The 20,060-nt window shown below is 37.5% G+C and overlaps 1 protein-coding gene across 11 annotated transcripts in view; it reads left to right on the top strand.

The window, feature by feature from the left end:
- Positions 1-20,060, top strand: part of ECPAS (Ecm29 proteasome adaptor and scaffold) — a 123,699-nt gene that overhangs the window by 40,489 nt on the left and 63,150 nt on the right. For 10 of the 11 annotated variants that reach the window (NM_001363756.2, NM_001364929.1, XM_047423107.1 and 7 more), the window contains 8 exons: positions 1,471-1,589; positions 3,374-3,523; positions 6,787-6,955; positions 10,523-10,662; positions 13,267-13,348; positions 15,734-15,853; positions 18,067-18,152; positions 18,399-18,477. In NM_001363756.2, the coding sequence (NP_001350685.1) occupies positions 1,471-1,589; positions 3,374-3,523; positions 6,787-6,955; positions 10,523-10,662; positions 13,267-13,348; positions 15,734-15,853; positions 18,067-18,152; positions 18,399-18,477 (945 nt within the window). Of the gene's footprint in view, positions 1-1,470; positions 1,590-3,373; positions 3,524-6,786; positions 6,956-10,522; positions 10,663-13,266; positions 13,349-15,733; positions 15,854-18,066; positions 18,153-18,398; positions 18,478-20,060 lie in introns of those variants that run through there. The other variant, XM_047423109.1, reaches the window with a different exon arrangement.

The following is a 20,060-nucleotide window of genomic DNA, read 5'->3' as shown; positions in this document are numbered from 1 at the left end:
TGGTAAGAAACATTCCTTTTAAAGTGTTGTCTTCATAAAAATTAAATGTAAAATATGTTGATGCTGTGTGATGGCAGGTGATGTTTTTTTTCCTGGTCCTTGTAGTTCCTAGCACTGAGGCAGAATCGATTGAATCTTACCTAACATCTGGAGTCACAAACCTTTTGGAGCCTGTTATTGGTCCAGACGTCATTTTGTCCATGTCTGTTCTGGATATTTGGCTCAATTATACATTTCCTTTCTTTAAGCAAATAGGAACACTGTGTGCCAATAAAAATGCCAAATATAATTTATTTGAAGAAGTAATCTTATGAAGCCCATTTACTTTAGTAAAGAATTCTTCAGAGGCCAGGCACGTCGGCTCATACCTGTAATCCCAGCACTTTGGGAGGTTGAGGCCAGCTGATCATGAGGTCAGGAGTTCAAGACCAGCCTGGCCATCATAGTGAAACCCCATCTCTACTAAAAATACAAAAATTAGCTGGGCGTGGTGGCGCGTGCCTGTAGTCCCAGCTACTTGGGAGACTGAGGCAGGGGAATCACTTGAACCTCAGAGGTGGAGGTTGCAGTGAGCTGAGATTGTGCCATTGCACTCCAGCCTGGGTGACAGAGCGAGACTCTGTCTTGGGGGAAAAAAATGAAAAAGCTTCAGAAAAGCAAATCTTAATCTTATCTGTAAATCCAGATACGTATTTATGGGTTTGCTTAAAATCCAGTATTCACACAGATTATAGTGATACAGGTTGAGTATCCCTTATCTGAATTGCTTGGGATCAAAAATGTTTTGGATTTTGGAATATTTACGTTATACTTACCTGATTTAGCATCCCAAATCCAAAATCTGCAATGCCCCAAGGAGCATTTCCTTTGTGTGTCTTGTTGGCACTCATAAAGTTTCAGATTTTGTAGTATTTCGAATTTCAGATTTTCAAATTTGGGATGCTTGACCTTGCAGAAACACACAGTACTCAGTTTCCTTTGGTTCATCATGCATTGGTGAGTTACTGGAGTGAGGAACCACAGAGTGCTGCAGTATACTAAGTTTGTTTTAGTCATTTGACCAGTGGGAAATGGCAGCCTAGGATTTGTCAACACCTGATCTCCTCCTAGCTTGTAAGGATTAATGCAACAGACTGGGAGATCTGGTGCTAATATGTAGTGTGTAGGTGTAAATAGGTTGATTATTTCTTTCTTCTTCATGATAAGAAATTGCATATATGAATGCTTTAGATTAGTCCATGCTACCTCACATTAGGCCTACTTTAAAGCAAGCATTTTGATTAAGTTGGACTGGAATTTTTCCTCTGAGATACAGTAGTTGGTAAAGGTGCAATAAACGTGGAGGGAGGATGAGTCACGTTTACAATGTCTTTGTTGTAACCATAACTCTCTAAGTTATCAATCATATATTTTCATTGAAATCATAGAGTATTTCCTTCACACTCACTTGCTTTTCTCTTATTGCATTAGAATTTTACTATAATTTATGTTAAAATGGGCTATCCTCGCCTACCAGTGGAAAAACAATGTGAACTGGCCCCTACGCTTCTTACTGCCATGGAAGGGAAGCCTCAGCCACAGCAGGATAGGTATGATTTCCTCAATTAACTAATTTCCCTCCTACAGGAGTCAACAACTGCCTTTCAAATATTAATTCACATATTTGGTTTTACTTGAGCAAATGGGAGGTCTTGAGCTGTTTTAGCTGACAAATAATAGAATTTTCCGTGGTACCTCAAAGTTACCGTTTTGTTAATACTATCATAAAATTTCTTGATGTGAACATTGAAAAATGTGCAGAACTAACATTTATCTAAGTCTGTGCATTTTTTTGGCTAGTTATCTTGAAGCAGTTAATTTTATGTGATTGCAAAAATTAGAATTAAAAATCCTTTGCATCAAAACAATTCTATCTTGGAAGATATAAAGTTTCACAGTGGTTTTCCTAAGGAACAGAGCACTCGTTTGTATTATTTTGGGAAGTGGTGCGGTGAAAAGGGTTTTAGATAACATCATTTGTTTCTAGGCTTAGGCAAAAGTTCTTTGTTCTAGCTCTGTCATAGTGAGAATCATGATGAAGAGTGCAGAAATGTAGAGGAAAGAGATGGAGTTAGATCATGTTTTCAGTTCACCTTTTAGAGCATATTCATTTTTTAAAAAATACTGTAATACAGAAGAAGTTTACAAGTAAAATTAATAGACATTACAAGTACTGTTTGTAATTGTTGTCAGATGTTTTAAGAGTATCAAAAGGTGTTAATGAAAGGAATTACTGAGACCTGTTACTTAAATTCATGCAGTGGAAATTTTAATGTTGTATTCAAAATATTAATATGATTGATTTTTAATTTTTAGAATAACTTTAGTTGTGGAAAATAATTTTTTTTTTTGAGACAGAGTCTCACTCTGTTGCCGAGGCTGGAGTGCAATGGCGCAATCTTGGCTCACTGCAACCTCTGCCTCCCGAGCTGAAGTGTTTCTCCTGCCTTAGCCTCCTGAGTAGCTGAGATTACAGATGCCTGCTACCATGGCCGGCAAACTTTTTGTATTTTTAGAAGAGATGGGGTTTTACCATGTTGGCCAGGCTGGTCTTGAACTCCTGACCTCAGATGATCTGCCCACCTTGGCCTCCCAAAGTGCTGGGGTTACAGGTGTGAGCCACTGTGCCTGACCGAAAATAATTCTTTTTTTTTTTAATTTTTATTTTTTATTTTTTATTTTTTTATTTTTATTTTTGTTTTTTGAGATGGAGTCTCACTCTGTTGCCCAGGTTGGAGTGCAGTGGCTTGATCTCGGCTCACTGCAAGCTCCGCCTCCCGGGTTCACTCCATTCTCCTGCCTCAGCCTGCCAAGTAGCTAGGACTACAGGTGCCCGCCACCGCGCCTGGCTGATTTTTTGTATTTTTAGTAGAGACGGGGTTTCACCATGGTCTCGATCTCCTGACCTCGTCATCTGCCCGCCTCGGCCTCCCAAAGTACTGGGATTACAGGCATGAGCCACCGCGCCCAGCCTGGAAAATAATTCTTTTTGAAAAGACAAGTAAGTTGAACTTTACTTAAGGTTTCATATAAAATCTCTTGTGGAAACTTCAGATATTAACACTGAGCCCATTTGATGTATTTTTTTCAGGTAATTTTAGTCATGAGCCAGATTGGCTAAATGCTAATCATCACTCAATATACTGAGCTTTCAATAAAAAAGAATTCTAGGCCAGTCCCTAGATTAGGACTTTGTAAATTAGTAGTGTTGAAAAGGAATGTCTCTTGCTTAAAACTGCCAGTTTTTGTTACGTGATTTTTGTTTTGTCTGTGTTTTGCATGTATAAAAATCTCATTTTTTAAGTAGTTGCAATAAATGTAATTGTTTTTTCAGCTTAATGCATCTTTTAATACCAACCCTTTTTCACATGAAATACCCTGTTGAATCATCAAAATCAGCTTCTCCATTTAATCTTGCTGAGAAACCAAAGACTGTGCAGCTGCTTTTGGACTTCATGCTAGATGTCCTTCTGATGCCTTATGGGTGAGTTAAAAAATAAAAGCAACCTTGTTCTTGACTGCTTTTACTACGGGGAGTTAAGTACTATTTTAAATGATTAAACTCTCACTAGTAAATGAATGCATCTCAACATCCATTTACGTTTACAAAGATTTTTTTCTTCTAAACTTCAGCTCCACTGCTTATCGGCTTTACAAATGCTGAGTTGCCATTGTGATTTTAGACTCTACCTGCCTAAGATGAAATCAGTCTTTCCCCATAAAAATAGTTCCTGTTAGGCCAAGGTGGGACGATTACTGGGGGCTAGGAGTTTCAGACCAGCCTGGGTAACAGAGCGAGACTCTCTCTCAAAAAAAAAAAAGTTTCTCTTTTAAATTTACTATTAATGCTATGATGGTTCTCTTTGCCACCTAGCCATACAATGATAAATTGTCTCCAGCTTTTCTCTTCTTTGTTGCTGCAATATCATTTGCATAATGCCTCCTTCCTTCTCCTTGCTGTGTCTGGAACTCTTCCCACTGCTATCATCTAGTTTTGCCTCTTTTCAACTCTTGTCATAATTTCTTTCCCAGCGGCTCCACTTCTTCAAATCTCTCTACACCCCCTCTCTATGCTTTTCCCGATTTGCAAAACACAGATCTCATCAGGCAACACCTTAAAATCCTTGGTTTCTCATATCCAGTCATTAATACACTCATGCATTTCATGCACGCTTATGTGTCCTTGCTGTTTATTTTTAAGAGAACGCCTTTCTGTCTGCCTAGAATGCTTCTTCAAAAAAGAAAGAAAGAAAACAACAAAAAGACACTTTGAAAAACAGCATCCTGGCCAGGTGCAGTGGCTCCCACCTGTAATCTCAGCACTTTGGGAAGGGGGGGCCGAACAGATCCCTTGAGCCCAGAAGTTTGAGACCAGCCTGGGCAACATGGCAAAATCCTATTTCTACAAAAAATACAAAAATTAGTCAGCCCTCATGGCATGCACCTATAGTCCCAGCTACTTGGGAGGCTGAGGCTGGAGTATTGATTGAGCCTGGGAGGTTGAGGCTGTAGTGAGCTATGATCATGCCACTGCACTCCAACCTGGTGACAGAACAAATACCCTGTCTCAAAAACAAAAAAAAAGGAAAAAAGAAAAAAGCATCCCAAACTGGCTTAAAGGTCAACTCCGTTTGTCTCTGACAAATTTCTTGCCTTAGACAGATATAACTGCACTATTTTCTGTGTCATAAAAACACAAAACACCCGCCTATATGGCCACTGTGTGTTTTTGCTGCATTGTAGACATTTCCATCTCCCCTAGTAGATGGTGAGCCCCTTGTAGTCGAGACCTATTTCATGTAGCTTTGGTCTCTGGCATGGAGCCCAGATTGTGATCTACTTCTGGTCTACTTATTTTGTCCATCTGCCAGATAAATTTTTCCAAAATGCTGTTTTCATCTTCTTTCTTTCCTGATCACAAAAGTATGTGTACATGGTAAGCTAGGCATGTGGGGCTCCATATCATTTGTTTCTCAATCCAGAAATGAGAGTTCATGCGGTGTGATGAACAAATTTGTTCTCCTCCTGCCCCTCTTGTTTGGAAGCCCAATTTTCTGGGCCTTCAGTCACTCCATGTTCACTGTCACCACCTGTTATATCATTTCTTATTTCTCAGCAGTTTCTTTGCATCTGATAGAATGGCAGATGCTATTACATGTGTTAGGTTGTTACTGTCTCAGCTTACTCCAGATGGCAGAGACTCGATCTTACATCTCCTTATATTCCTCTGTCTTGTGTTTAGGATGATGTTTGTTTGAGATAGGGTCTCAGTCTGTCGCCCAGGCTACTGTGCAGTGGTAACTCAATGCAGCCTTGACCTCCTGGGTTCAAGCAGTCCTCTCACCTCAGCCTTCTGAGTAGCTGGGACTACAGGCGTGCACCACCACACCCAGCTAATTTTTTTGTATTTTTTGTAGAGATAGGGGGTCACCAAACTCCTGGACTCAAGCGATCCTCCCACCTTGGCTTCCCAAAATGCTGGGATTATAGGCCTGAGCCACCACACCCAGCCTTAGGGTGTTTTATGCAGTATTAAGATGTATTAACTTATTGATTGATTTACTTAATGCCACCAGTCTTGCTATAACTTAGAAATAAAAAAACTTCTTTTTATATTTGTTAAATCAGGAGGCAGCCAGAATGACAGGTGATGATGGCTTTGGTAGATAAACCTTGAAATTCAGATTTACCTTAGGAACATGATGTAACCAAGCCAGTGATTCCTCACATTTTTCTTACTAATGAGAACTTGGGTCATTTATATAATAACATTAAAGCGATTCCTTAAGAGATTTTTAAAAAATAGATAAATTTAGGAATTGAATGAATATGACATGTAAGTAATGTGGAATAACTTACTATCCTATCAGGTTCTAAGTGTTTTCTTGAACTTTTATTATAGTGGATATTTTATTATAATATCCAATATGATAATGGAATTTATCATCATAGATCTTTAGTTTTAAGAGATTTGAATTAATATTTATATCAAAAACTTCATTTTGTAGATGAGTAATACCAGTTTAATTGGATCAAAATGAATTTCTTAGAGGTCTTATTTCTCCTCTATAGAAGCTAAAATGAAATAGGGATGATAAATTAACCAAGGCAGTGCAAAGGGCTTTGAACATGTAATGGGAAAAGTCAGTTCTTGTGTAACTTTTCTTCTTTGGGCCCTTTTGAGTTTTTTCATTTTAGGGACTTTATGTGCTTATGTGGTACGTGCTTATGTGCTTATGTGGCCGTTTGGAGGTTTCAGTGGATTTTCTAATGTAGGGATAAAGACCTCAGTTCAGGGAGGATTGAAGGTGAATTACAACTTCGTAGAAATGAGAATGACTGTAAAAATACTCTCCTTTGGGTATAGTGCAATAGCTCCTCCCAGTCCCCTTTGTCAACAAACTTTTCCTCATATTTGGCAGCTCAAAACTCAAAATGTGATTCTGGAGTAGCCATTAGAGCAATCATTTATAGATTGAGAGTGATGAAAATATTTATATTCATTGTTGGTAATGGTTGTAGTTCATTTGTAACCAAGTTAAATGACGTGCTCTCTGGTTAATTTGCTGAAGATACATCTTTTTTAGATACCTTAAAATTTTTTTTATGATGAAATTTTAATTTCAAGTGTTCATTCTTCTAGTAAAATACAGTAGGAGGACAGTATATGATTGAATGTTTTGTATACATATATAGTTGTAAATGCTTTTGTATTTATAGAGGGTTAAAGTGTTATTTCCTTTCCAGTTACGTGTTAAATGAATCCCAGAGTCGCCAAAATTCATCTTCAGCACAGGGTTCTTCTTCAAACAGTGGCGGAGGTTCTGGAATCCCACAGCCTCCTCCGGGAATGAGCTTTTATGCAGCCAAACGAGTTATTGGTGATAACCCATGGACACCTGAACAATTGGAACAGGTATCACACAAGGCTTGCTCATAATAGTAGTTGATTGTGGACACTTTCCCCTATGAAGTTCATGAACCGTATAAAACATAATTCTAGTATATTCAGGCTCTCCAGTGAAATATGTTTGAAAGAAGCAGTTGATGTAATGTGTTCTTTTCATGCTAGTTATTTATTAAGCCCTAGGGGCAGGGAGGAGTGGGACATACTGTTTAGTTTTTCTAATACTGCTTACATATGTCAAGTATAAAGCACAACTCACTTATAAATTGAATATGTTTAACTTTTGTCATTTTATTTTTTTTTATTTTTTAACTTTTGTAATTTTAATTTTTTAATTATAGGTTTAATTTTCATCTAGCTTTTATGGTGCAGTTAAAATACAATTTTTCTTACATTATTCAACTTTTAAGGGCTGTACGTTTTATGTAAAGTGAGGAGCCCCAGCACTTCACAGGTGACAATGTGGGGAAAAGCATGACTCCCTGTTATATTACTTCTTGGGAATTTAAAAATTGGCATTAAGGATTTTATTCTGGATTTAAACAGGACACAGATGTTCTCTGAGCAGCTTTTAAAAATGACTGGTGCTCTACAGAGAAGGTGCCTTACTGTGTCTGTGTCATCAGGCACTTCAGGGAAGAACAGATGAGATCAGTATGTAATTATTTTGGAATTCAAGCAACATGGGTTAGTCTTCTAATCCTTCCTTTATTTCTCCATGGCAGTCTAAATGATTTGATCCCTTTTTTTTTGGGAAATGTAAGTGACCATTGATTAAAACAGTATTCCCAGGAGAGGGGAAAAGAGGCAAGTGGGGCATTCTTGCCATTCACAAATTTATAGAATGTTTTATTGAGTGAGGGATATAATTGATTTGATTTCCTTCTTCATGTTTTATGGATCTTTTTTTTTTTTCCTCCTTAAACTATTATGTAAGTAAGAAAGGTAAAGAATTAACAGAGGCCGGGCGCAGTGGCTAATGCCTGTAATCCCAGCACTTTGGGAGGCCAAAGTGGGCGGATCATGAGGTCAGGAGATCGAGACCATCCTGGCTAACATGGTGAAACCCTGTTTCTTCTTAAAAAAAAAAAAAAAAAAAAAATTAGCTGGGCGTGGTGGCGGGCGCCTGTAGTCCCAGCTATTCAGGAGGCTGAGGTGGGAGAATGGCGTGAACCCAGGAGGCAGAGCTTGCAGTGCGCCGAGATCGTGCCACTGCACTCCAGCCTGGGCGACAGAGCAAGACTCCATCTCAAAAAAAAAAAAAAAAAAGATTTACTGAAGCTACTCTTTATTGAGTGCAATCTATGTGACAGGCACCGTACCGGGTACTTTGAATACAATATCTCATTTAACCCTCGGAGCAACCCAGTAAGGTATAGAAATTGTTAGTTCCATTTTCTGAAAGGCATGGAGGTTTTGAGATTTACCAGGGTCTCACTTTTAGTACCAGGCTTTGAACCTAGGATTATCTAAGGGTTAAAGCTACAAATGCTGGAGAAAAATTGTTATTGTTCAATTACAATCTTAAATTGGTCATTATTTGCCAATATGCCTCTGTATGTGTTTTGTCAGTTTCATAATCTAGTGCTGAAACGAACAGTTTAGTTTCAGGGATGAAAGCTATTTTCCTCTAATTTTAAAATATCTCTTTGTTTTATACTTTTTCTTCCAAGGAAAACATGTTTTTTCCAATTATAAACAATGTAAATATTCAAGTAGTTAAGAATAGTAGAGAAATTAAAAATTAAGGGGCTGGGTGTCGTGGCTCGGGCCTGTAATCCCAGCCCTTTGGGAGGCTGAGGTGGGTGGATCACTTGAGGTCAGGAGTTCGAGACCAGCCTGAGCAACAGAGTGAGACCCCGTCTCTATTAAAAATAGAAAAATTAGCTGGGCGTGGTGGTGCATGCCTGTAACCCTAGCTACTTGGGAAGCTGAGGCATGAAAATCACTTGAACCCAGGAGGTGGGGGTTGCCGTGAGCTGACATTGTGCCATGACACTCCATCCTGGGCGATAGAGCAAGACTCTGTGTAAAAAAAAAAAAAAAAAAAAAGCCAGATGTGGTGGCTCATGCCTGTAATCCCAGCACTTTGGGAGGCCATGTTGGGCAGATCGCTTGAGGTCAGGAGTTCGAGGCTAGCCTGACCAACATGGCAAAACCCCATCTCTACTAAGAAAACAAAAACAAAAATTAGCCGGGCATGGCGGTGTGTGTGCCTGTAGCCCCAGCTGCTGGGGAGGCTGAGGCACGAGAATTGCTTGAACCCAGGAGGCAGAGGTTGCAGTGAGCCAAGATTGCACCACTGCACTCCAGCCTGGGCGACAGAGGGAGACTCTGTCTCAAAAAAAAAAAAAAAAAAAAAAGTTAACTGGAATCCTGTCACACTAGTTTGTCATCTGTCTACAGTTTTGCTCTGTGCATGTGTGTGTGTTCACCGTTTTAAACAATACATTTCTACTTGTCATGTAATACATTATTTGTAGTTTGCTTTTTATGTTGAATAATATTTTGGATTTTTAAAAAAGTAATTCTTTTTAATGTTTGTTTACAATTATATGTGATATGTTTTAACCAGTCTCCTATTGATGGACATCTGTATCATTTTCAGTTTTCTTTACACATTTTTTGTTTAGTTTATATCTTTGTGTACTTGACTTCCATGTGTCCTTTTTGTGGCTGTACAAATGTTTGAATCTTTTCTGTTGTAGCTGTTGTTAAAAGTAAGTTGTATCGAGCAGGGGAGGGAAGGCAGGCCCTTTTTTGATCTGTTATGCTTTTTTAAGTTGCATTTTTTTCTCATTTAATAATTGTAAACTTTATTAATCCTAGTATATGTAAAAACTGTTATGTGACTGATTTTTTAAGATGAAAATGAAACTTTATTTTTTCAGGTGTATTTATCCTAAATAGAGTCATTTGTAGTGAAATTCATAGCATCTTCACATTGCATGAAGTTCTAAGCAGAATCTCTCTAGTCTGTTTCATTTCAGCCAGTCAATTAAATTGAAAACTGTTTGATTAGAATTTCACTTGCATTGAGTAGCTAACATTTGAAGTCATATCCTTTGTATGTAAGCAATAGAGTGAAACTCCATGGAATGTGAGTTGTTTAGTTCTTTTTTGAACTGTCAGAAAAATCCATGGAGCACTATATTCCTAGTGTACCACCCTCTTATCTGGAGGCCCCAAATTTGGACTTCAAGACTTCATCACTCTAGAGAGGCTGTGTAACCTCACTAGGGAGGCTGTGTATCATAATAATTTTGGAGTCAGAGAGGCTTGGGTTTGAATCCTGCCATCGTCGTTTACCAGTGTCTTAATCTTTTAAGCCTTGCCTCGGTATTTTTAGCTAAAAAATGGGTATAATGATTGATTTATTATTGTGAGGATTAAGTGAAATTATGAATATATGTGCTTTAGTACAGTCCCCGGCACATTGTAAGCCTAAGTAGGAGCTGCTACTGTTGTTACTGCTCATCTTTGGCTTGTGACCACACTGATATGTTAAGCAGTACTTTCAGTGGGTGTCCTTTGCTCCCCTGACTGTTCTTTCTCCTTCCCTTCATTTATCTACAGTGCAAATTGGGAATCGTGAAATTCATAGAAGCTGAACAGGTGCCTGAACTTGAAGCTGTTCTCCACTTGGTGATTGCCTCTAGTGATACACGCCACAGTGTGGCAACGGCAGCAGACCTGGAATTGAAAAGCAAACAGAGGTAACTACTTCCCTGTAAACTTTCAAGATTGAAAGGACTACATTTCTAAAAACTTACTTGACACATTTTTTGTTTAAGGATTTTTTGTAATGAGGCATTCAACTTAGAGGAGATTATTAAATATACCTAGTTTGTAATCAAGTTTGCTAAAGAGTTGAATTCTGTGTAAGACAGAGAAGAAAATCTGTGTGGAGATGCTGTTTATAGCTGCAATAGGTTAGGAATGTCATCACAATCAATGAGACTTTTGGCTAGGTAGATGAACTTAAAGAATTGATGTTAAGAAAAGTGTCAGTTCCAAGAAACTAATTTTTATTTTTTTCTGTGTCTCAAACCATTCGAGATTACTTTTAATAAAGACTATGTATGTATTATGGTTAATACAGTGAAAATTACATTCATGAAAAGAGTTGCTGAATAGATTCTAATTCACACACGAGGAGATACAGATAGGAAATAGACTTATAGAAAATATTCTGTATAAGAAATAAAGTCAATGAAAAATAAATGAATGAAGTCAATGAAAAATAAATGAATGGGATACCAGTAGCAGTGGTTAAACCCATTTACGTTTCTATTGAAACTGCGATTTTTATTTTTATTTATATATTTATTTTTTGAGACAGGGTCTCTCTCTGTTGCCCAGGCAGGAGTGCAGTGGCACGATCTCAGCTCACTGCAACCTCCACCTACCAGGTTCAAGCGATTCTCATGCCTCAGCCTCCCAAGTAGCTGGGACTACAGGTGCTGGCCACCATGCCTGCCTAATTTTTGTATTTTTGGTAGAAATGGGATTTCACCATGTTGCCCAGGCTGCTCTCGAACTCCTGAGCTCAGGTGATCCACGCAGCTTGGCCTCCCAAAGTGCTGGGATTACAGGCGTGAGCCACCACGCCTGGCCAAAACTGCTATTTTTATACCCTGTTGATTGGCATTATAAATTGAAATGAAGTTTTGGAAAGCAGTTTGCAATAAGTAATGAATCATAAAGATATTTCTATCCTTTTATCTCAATATTCTGGGAATTTATCCTAAGGAAATTATTCAAAAGCAGAAAGAGATTTAGAAAAATTTTATAGATTTGTTCATTATATCATTTTCTATCATTGTTAAAATATGAAAACAAATTCAGTTTTCCATAATGGGGATATAGTTAAGTAAATTACTGTATGTATCTTTATGGAATATTATATATTTGCCAAAATATGAATGAAGTTAATTACTACTAAGTTTTTAGTTTGTTTTACTAAAGTGTTTGTTTTGTCTGAAATCTCTAAACCACAAGTATTATGAAAGAAAAGCAACGGCGGAGCTTGAGGATTAGTTAGTAGCAATCAGCTGAGGAAAGATGTAGGTGAATCATATCTAAAACAGAATTGTAGAATGCCTCTGAGGATAGCGGAATTGTGGCTATTCTAAGAAGAAGCATATTTATAAACTATGAAAGAAGATAAATCCAAAAAGCAGTTAAAGTAGCTTCATCTGTTGTGTTTGCACAAACACAGGATAGCTTGAAAGCAGAACCAATGTCAAAGGGCAGAGAGAATATAGTATGGTAAACCAGTCAAATGAAAGGAAGGATTACATTATTGCTAGGTTTATGAAATGAGTGGGTGGGATCTGCTGCAGAGGGTGGGAACGAATCACCAATCATCTTTTTTTTTTTTTTTTTTCTGAGACAGAGTCTAGCTCTGTCACACAGGCTGGAGTGCAGTGGCACAATCTCGGCTCACTGCAATCTCCCCCTCTCGGATTCAAGTGATTCTCGTGCCTCAGCCTCCTGAGTAGCTGTGATTACAGGTGCACACCACCGTGCCCGGCTAATTTTTGTATTTTTGGTAGAGATGGGGTTTCGCCATGCTGGCCAGGCTGGCCTTGAACTCCTATCCTCAGGTGATCCACCCGCCTCGGCCTCCCAAAGTGCTGGGATTGCAGGTGTGAGCCACCATGCCCAGCTGTCACCAATCACCTTATATCTGAATTCACCTTATTGTGGGGCCCAAATAGAATTAAGTCTTAGTGACTGATAGCATAACTACTCTGCAGAATTAAAACTGCAAGTGTGTACTGGTAGATAAGGAAGGAGGGGGATGCTGGGAATCACAGTGACGTTAGAGAAATACGGTGGCTTGCAAGCTTCCTAGATGTGGCTTTAATTTCATGGGTAAAAATTTTTTTGTCACTTTCCTTATCACTTTTGAACTGCCAAATGGTTAAACAGACGAATCCTACCCTGCCCCAGGCCTCTTTGAACAAGTGTAGTAAAGCTCTGCTCTGTTGGAGTTGCTCCATGCCATTGGCCTGAGAACCCATCTATGTAGGAACAGTGTCCAGTGTTCTTGTGGTACCAAATTGTGCCATTGGATACAATAATCTGTTGAGTCTGGGTGGGATAAGTGATTTGTATTTGTTTTGGTTTAAAAACATACTTTGATAGAAATTAGTCCCTTTCTTTTCCTTCTCTTCTACAATGTCAATTGCCCATTTCATTTGTGTGTTTCTAACATTTTCTTTTGTTAAGAAATGTTGGGGCTATAATTTTTTTGAAATCACTGAAGGAGGGGGAAAAATAATTTTAACAACCTGTGTTGAAACCTTCCATAGCTTAATTGACTGGAATAATCCTGCCATCATTAATAAGATGTACAAGGTGTACCTTGGAGATATACCACTGAAGACAAAAGAGGTAGGTTGTTTTGATTTATTCTCACATCAGCGTAAAAAGTAGTTTGTTGACATGAACTGCGTATTTATACATTTTCTTCTAGTTTCATTTAAGCTGAATCTGTGCTATAACAAAATGCTAGTTTTAAGTCATGCTAGTTTAGATGAATTAAAACCTGGTAATTTAGTTTACTGGATCTTGTGTTGTAAATTCAGATTCCTAAATAACAATGACAAACTGTCTAGAGTAGGGATTGACAAATTTTTTCTGTAAATTTTGTAGGCTTTGCAGGCCTTATGGTCTCTCAGGTTGCAGCTGCTGAACTCTTGTAACATGAAAGCAACTATAGGCAATACATAACCGAATGAGCATGGTTGTGTGCCGGTAAAACATTGTGGATACTGATGTTTGAATTTTGTGTAGTTTTCATATATTACAAAATATATTCCTTTGATATTTTTTAACCATTACAAAATGTAAAAATGATGCTTAACTCATAGACCTTATCAGAATAAATGGTGGGCCAGATTCGGACTGTGGGCTATAGTTTGCAGACTTCTGGTCTAGAATCTAGAACAAAAGATAGGTCCTTCTAAAGCCTCAAAGTAAGACCTTTGCCTTACTAACGTGAGTTCTTTTTAGTTCACTGTGTTTAAAAGTATTCCAGGTCCAAACCCAGATATACAAGGATTATTTGTTTGCATGCTTGCATTCTTGCTCTTTTTTGTTTGAGTTGGGGTTTAGCTATGTTGCCTAGGCTGGACTTGAACTTCTGGGCTTAAGCTGTGCTCCTGCCTCAGTCTCTTGAGTAGCTGTGACTACAGGTGCACACCACTGCACCTGTCTGCCTTTTTGCTTTTTAAACCATAAATACTTGTTTTAAAAATCAATATTAGCCCTGGTTAGATTAGATTGAGTGTGGTAAAGCAGAAATAACAATGAATTGGGAATCAGGACCTATGAATTCTAGCCCCAAATGGCTGTACACATGAATGTGCTGGGGAGGAAAGGTTTGGCTGATCACATAACTTTTCCTGGCCTCATGTTCTTCATGTAGAAAATGAAGGGGTTGGATTAGATTAGTGGTTCTCACAGTGTGGTCCATGGACCTTTTTAGGGTCACAAAACACCTTTTAGGCAGTCTGTGAAGGCCTTTTCTTTTTGTACTGTGTCAATATTTGCACTCATGGTACAAAAGCAATGGTGAGTGTACTTGCTAGGTTCCTACCACATATCAAAGCCATGTCACCAGATGACTAACAGTTATTCTATTCTTCAGTGTTATGTACTCATTTAAAAAAAAAAAGAGAATAAAACTCAGCTTTACTTAAGAACATCCTTGATGAAGCAGTAAAAATGACTTTACTTGAAGAGTAGACAGGCAAATTATAGCTACCGAGATGGGTATTTGGTGCATACTTTCTCTAAAAGGGAAAAAAATGAGCTTGTTACTTCAAGAAAAACAACATGATTTATTGGCAATGATAAAAGTTAGCTTTCAAGCAAAAATTAGAGTTTTGAGAAACTTGTATTCACCACAGTGATTTGATAGCTTATCAGTACTTAGTAGATTTTTCTGATGCCGTTAGAACACAGGTGATATGAGCACAGGCTTTGTGAAAAAAAATGTATGTATGAAGAAACATTTGCTTAACTCAGTGAGCCAGTATTGTGCACATGAAGAATGATGTTACAAAAGCATATAAGGACAAGGGAGCCATTCAGAGTAAGATAACCAGTGGAATATAGTATAAGAGTATACAAAAGTTCATTGATATGGTTTCAACTCCAAATTGCAACTAACCTTTTTTTTTTCATTTTTTAAAAATAAGCAATTAACTGTTAAGAAATTATTATTTGTCAAGTTTTGGTGTAGTATGAAAAAAGAATGTCCACAATTACCTAAGAAAGCTAAAATCATCTCCACTTTTCCAACCACACATATCTGTGCAAGCGAGGTTTTTGTTACTTATTTCAACCAAAACAATGTATTATAGCAGATTGAATACAGAAGAATATATAAAAATTCATTTCTCTTGTAGTAAGGCGAACATTGAAGAGATTAGTAGACAATGTAAAACAGTGCTTCTCCCTCAGTACAATTTTTTTTGCTTTGGAAAATAGTTATTTTTTATAAAAATGTTAGTTTTGAAAATAATGAGTTTATTAATAATTGTGAGTAAACAAATATGTTAAAATTTCTCAGTTTTAATTTCCCGTATAGTAAATATTGATAGGTTACACAGATATAAACAGAAGCTCTTTGGAGAGTTCAGTAATTTTTAAGAGTGTAAAGGGATCTTGAAACAAAGTTTGAGAGACCACTGATTAAGATGAATTCTCATGACATTTTCAGTTCAAAATAATTTTGAATTGCTGAGTTATAATCAAGCATATTTTCAACAGGGTGCAGTTCTGAAGCCAGAGTTGAAAAGGGACCCTGTCAGTACAAGAGTCAAGTTAAAGATTGTCCCCCATCTCCTCCGCTCTAGACAAGCTGCTGAAACGTTCCCAGCCAACATTCAGGTAATTTGTTTTTTCCAGAGAATATTGGCCTGTCTGCAACTTTTATGTCTATTTAATTAGAGAAAGAACTGTGTTAATGGATATTCAGTGGGTAGGTTGATGTATATAACAAGATTAATGAGATTCTTTTTTTCTATCTTAAATTTGCTGCAATATGATTTTAAAAAAATTATCAGAAAATATATATAGGTTGAGCATCTCTAATTAGAAAATCTGAAATCCTAAATGCTCCAAAGTCCAAAACTTTGTACTGACATGATGCTCCAAGTGCAAAATTCCATACCTGGTCTCATGTGATGGATTGCATTAAAACAGTCAAAACTTTACTTCATGCACAAAATTATTTAAAATATTGTATAAATTACCTTCAGGCTATGTGCATAAGGTGTATAGAAAATGTCAGTGAATTTCATCTTTAGATTTGGGTTTCATCCCCAGGATATCTCTTTATGTATGTACACATATTCCAAAATCTGAAAAAATCTGAAATCTCAAAACACTTCTGATCCTAAGCATTTCCAGTAAGGAACACTTAACCTATGCTATATTGGCTTCCATTTATCTTAAATGTATGGTAATAATCCCTTTCAGACAAGGTTTTTTTTTATGTGTGGCTTTTCTCCAAAAATGGTATCATTAGCAACTTAGTCACTTAAGTGACAAAGCTGAGTCATCCTTAACTGAAAGCTCACTTGAAGGCAGTGGCCAAATCCTCTTGATTTCATCTTAATGTCTTCACTTCTCTATGCCTATAATGCTGCTATTAATTCAAACTATTACTTCTTGTTTTGGTTATTGCAGTATTCTTTTAACTTACCTTCCTGCCTCTAGTCTTGGCCCACATTCAGTCTGTTTTCTTTTTCATTGCTTTTTTTTTTTTTCTGAGACAGGGTCTCACTGTGTTGCTCAGGCTGGAGTGCAGTGGCACAATCTTGTCTCACTCAGCCTCTACCTCCCAGGCTGAAGTGATCCTTCCACCTCAGCCTCCCGAGTAGCTAAAAAAAAAGTCTGTTTCAAATAATGTAGCACTTGATTATATTTTGTCCCATATCTTTTTGTGGTTTTTTTGGAGACGGAGTCTTTCTGTGCCACCCAGACTGGAGTGCAGTAGTGGTGTGATCTAGGCTTACTGCAGCCTCTGCCTCCCAAGCTCAAATGATTCTCCCATCTCCAGGCCTCCCAAGTAGCTGGGACTACAGGCATGTGCCACCATGCCTGGCTAATTTTTGTATTTTTTTGTACAGATGGAGTTTCACTATGTTGCCCAGGCTGGTCTAGAACTCCTGGGCTCAAGTGATCTTCCTGCCTTGGCCTCCCAAAGTGCTGGGATTTTTTTTTTTTTTTTTTGAAGTGAGACAGGATCTTGCTATGTTGCCCAGACTGGCCTTGAATGCTTGGGCTCAAGTGATCCTCCCGTCCTAGCCTCCCTAGTAGCTGGGACTGTAGGTGTGAGCCACCATGCTTGGCTATGTATCATTTTAATGTGTGTATCTCTTAACTCTTCAACAAGATTGAGTGCTTGTTCTTTTTTATATCTCTTAGTACCTAGCACAGTGGCAATTATAAAGCAGATACTCAATACTAGTCTGTAACTCACATGTTATTGTTAAATAAGATCAGAATACTGCTGGCAGTTTTAGGAACAAGAGTATAGAGTTTTTTTTTTTTTTTTTAGTGTAAGTAATCTTTGTCATAAAAAGGAACTTGAGGGATTTAGATATTTTTGATGTTGTTGGTTAATATTGAACTTGCTGGATGCTGCACAGGACTCATCTGCATGATCTTTTTGCCTTCTAGATGTGGTTCCATAATACTTGAAGCACCTTTACCCCAATGGGACACTTGTAGAATATTTCCATTTGTATGTTTTCTCTGAAGCTTTTATTAGAATTTGTCCTGAATCATATAATTAAGAAACATAGGGAATAGCTGAGTGGTGACCCACTGCAGTGTGTACTCTTCGTTTCCTCACTGTGGTAGACCCACAATCTTTGCAGACTTGTGCGATCAACCATTGTGTTTGTTACTCCACAGACTATTTATAGGAGCTTCTGATTGGCTTTCTAAGTTGGTCAGCTAATAATGTGTATCTGCATTAATGTTGAAGAACGAGATGTAGTATGAAAGGTCTGCTGCTGAATTCTGATTACTATTCAAAAATATTAAATTCTTATTTTTATTAATTGATGTTCTCAACTCTTCATTTTACATAGGTGGTGTATGATGGACTTTTTGGTACAAATACAAATTCAAAGTTAAGAACATTATCCCTGCAATTTGTGCATCATATTTGTATAACGTAAGTCTTTAACTATTTTAACTATAAAGTTTTCAAGCTGCTGGAATGATTGAGTGCTTCAAGTGTATCGTTTTACTCATCTTACCTAGAAAGAAAACATGTTTGCTCATCTTTAAAAATTTTTGTATTTTAATAGATTATTTAACTTATTTCGGTTATGTCTCTCATTATTTTATGTAATCATCCGTAAAGATATGTAGTCATGAGATTCTTATCTTGCTTTGTGTATGTGTGTTTTATTTAAAGCTGTCCAGAAATCAAGATTAAGCCATTAGGTCCAATGCTTTTGAATGGCCTCACCAAGCTAATCAATGAATACAAAGAGGTAAGTGACTTGTCTTTTAAATTTTATCAACATTTTATATCTTAAAGTATTTTCTATAATATTTCTGGTCTGTCAATGTAGTTAGTTAAAAGTTTGTTAAAGTTTCACTGTTCCTTAACATTTTACTTGAAATAGTACAAATTTCAGAAATTACTGCCCTTTTTTGCTTTTTTGGGGGGAAATAACTGTTAAAAACTGATATGAGGTCTTACTATATCTTTTTTTTTTTTTGAGATGGAGTTTTGCTCTAGTTGCCCAGGCTGGAGTGCAATGGCATGATCTTAGCTCCCTGCAACCTCCGGCTCCTGGTTCAAGTGATTCTCTTGCCTCAGCCTCCCGAGTAGCTGGGATTACAGGCACCTGCCACCACCACACCCAGCTAATTTTTTGTATTTTTAGTAGAGATGGGTTGGCCATCTCTACTGGCCGTCTCAAGGCCAGGCTGGTCTTGAATTCCTGACCTCAGGTGATCCGCCTGCCTCGGCCTCCCTAAGTGCTGGGATTACAGGCATGAGCCACCATGCCCAGCCTGCTGTATCTTTAAATAGCATTTTTTCAGCCAGCACCTTTTGTGCTACTTCTAGCTATTGTGCAAAAATGGAATTAAAGGAATTGAAATTTATGTTGATTTCCCTATGTGACTATTTGGATTTGGCTTGTGTTGGGAAACTGTTAATTCTCAGGGGCTAAGATACTTTTTTTCTTTTATATTTTTCTCTGGTAAATAATGGGGCTGAGATTTTAATGATTCAAAATTCTGTCAAAACATGCATTCAGTAAATTTTTGATTCCTTAAGCTAAATGGGATGAGGATTCCTTGGACTGTGGATTTTTGAATCCCTTTCCCTGCTGTATTTCTCTTACTATAATATCTCCAATATTTAAAAGGAATTTGCTTAAAAAGGTAATATTTCAAGAATTCATTAGCATTATTTTCCCCAGTCTAAGCTAAACATGAATGCATGTTTGCAGTAGTATAGTGAGATCAAGATCTTACATCTGAAATTAGAACTGAGTTTGAATCCTAGTTTTGTTCTTTGGTGAGTTACTTAAATTCTTTGCACCTTCTTATTAGAAAAATGAAAATAATACTGCTTGATTAGATTACTGTGAAGATTGAATGAGTTAATCTACCTAAATTGTTCACCATAGTCAAGGCACGTTAGTAGGTATTATTAGTGAAAGGCACTTTATTTACTGTGCAGCTGTGCTTTGGGGTGGTAAGTAGGCCTGGTTCTCATAGCTTCTTTCTCCTATTGAGTGATGCTTGCATGGTTAAGATCTAGGGGACCACTCAGATTATTTTATGGCATAGATGGTGAAATGCTTTAGAGTCATTGGTAGAAATGAAAATGTTCTGGGGCTCTTGGGGAGAAGCTGTATATTTAAATGTAAGTTAGAGAGGCCAGACAAACCACAGGGTGTGAGTCCCCTTACCTGCAGGTGACATCTGCATGTCTTCCCAACAGATGAATCCATAAGAGTAGCCATTTAGATGTGGAAGGGCAAATCCTAGGATAAACACATAAACTTTAACTGGTAGAAGTTTATTGTGTTCTGAGTAATCAGATTATTAGTTTTTG

The sequence above is a fragment of the Homo sapiens genome, chromosome 9 (genome assembly GCF_000001405.40).
Source record: "Homo sapiens chromosome 9, GRCh38.p14 Primary Assembly".
NCBI lineage: Eukaryota > Metazoa > Chordata > Mammalia > Primates > Hominidae > Homo > Homo sapiens.
This window is presented reverse-complemented; position numbering and strand designations above follow the sequence as displayed.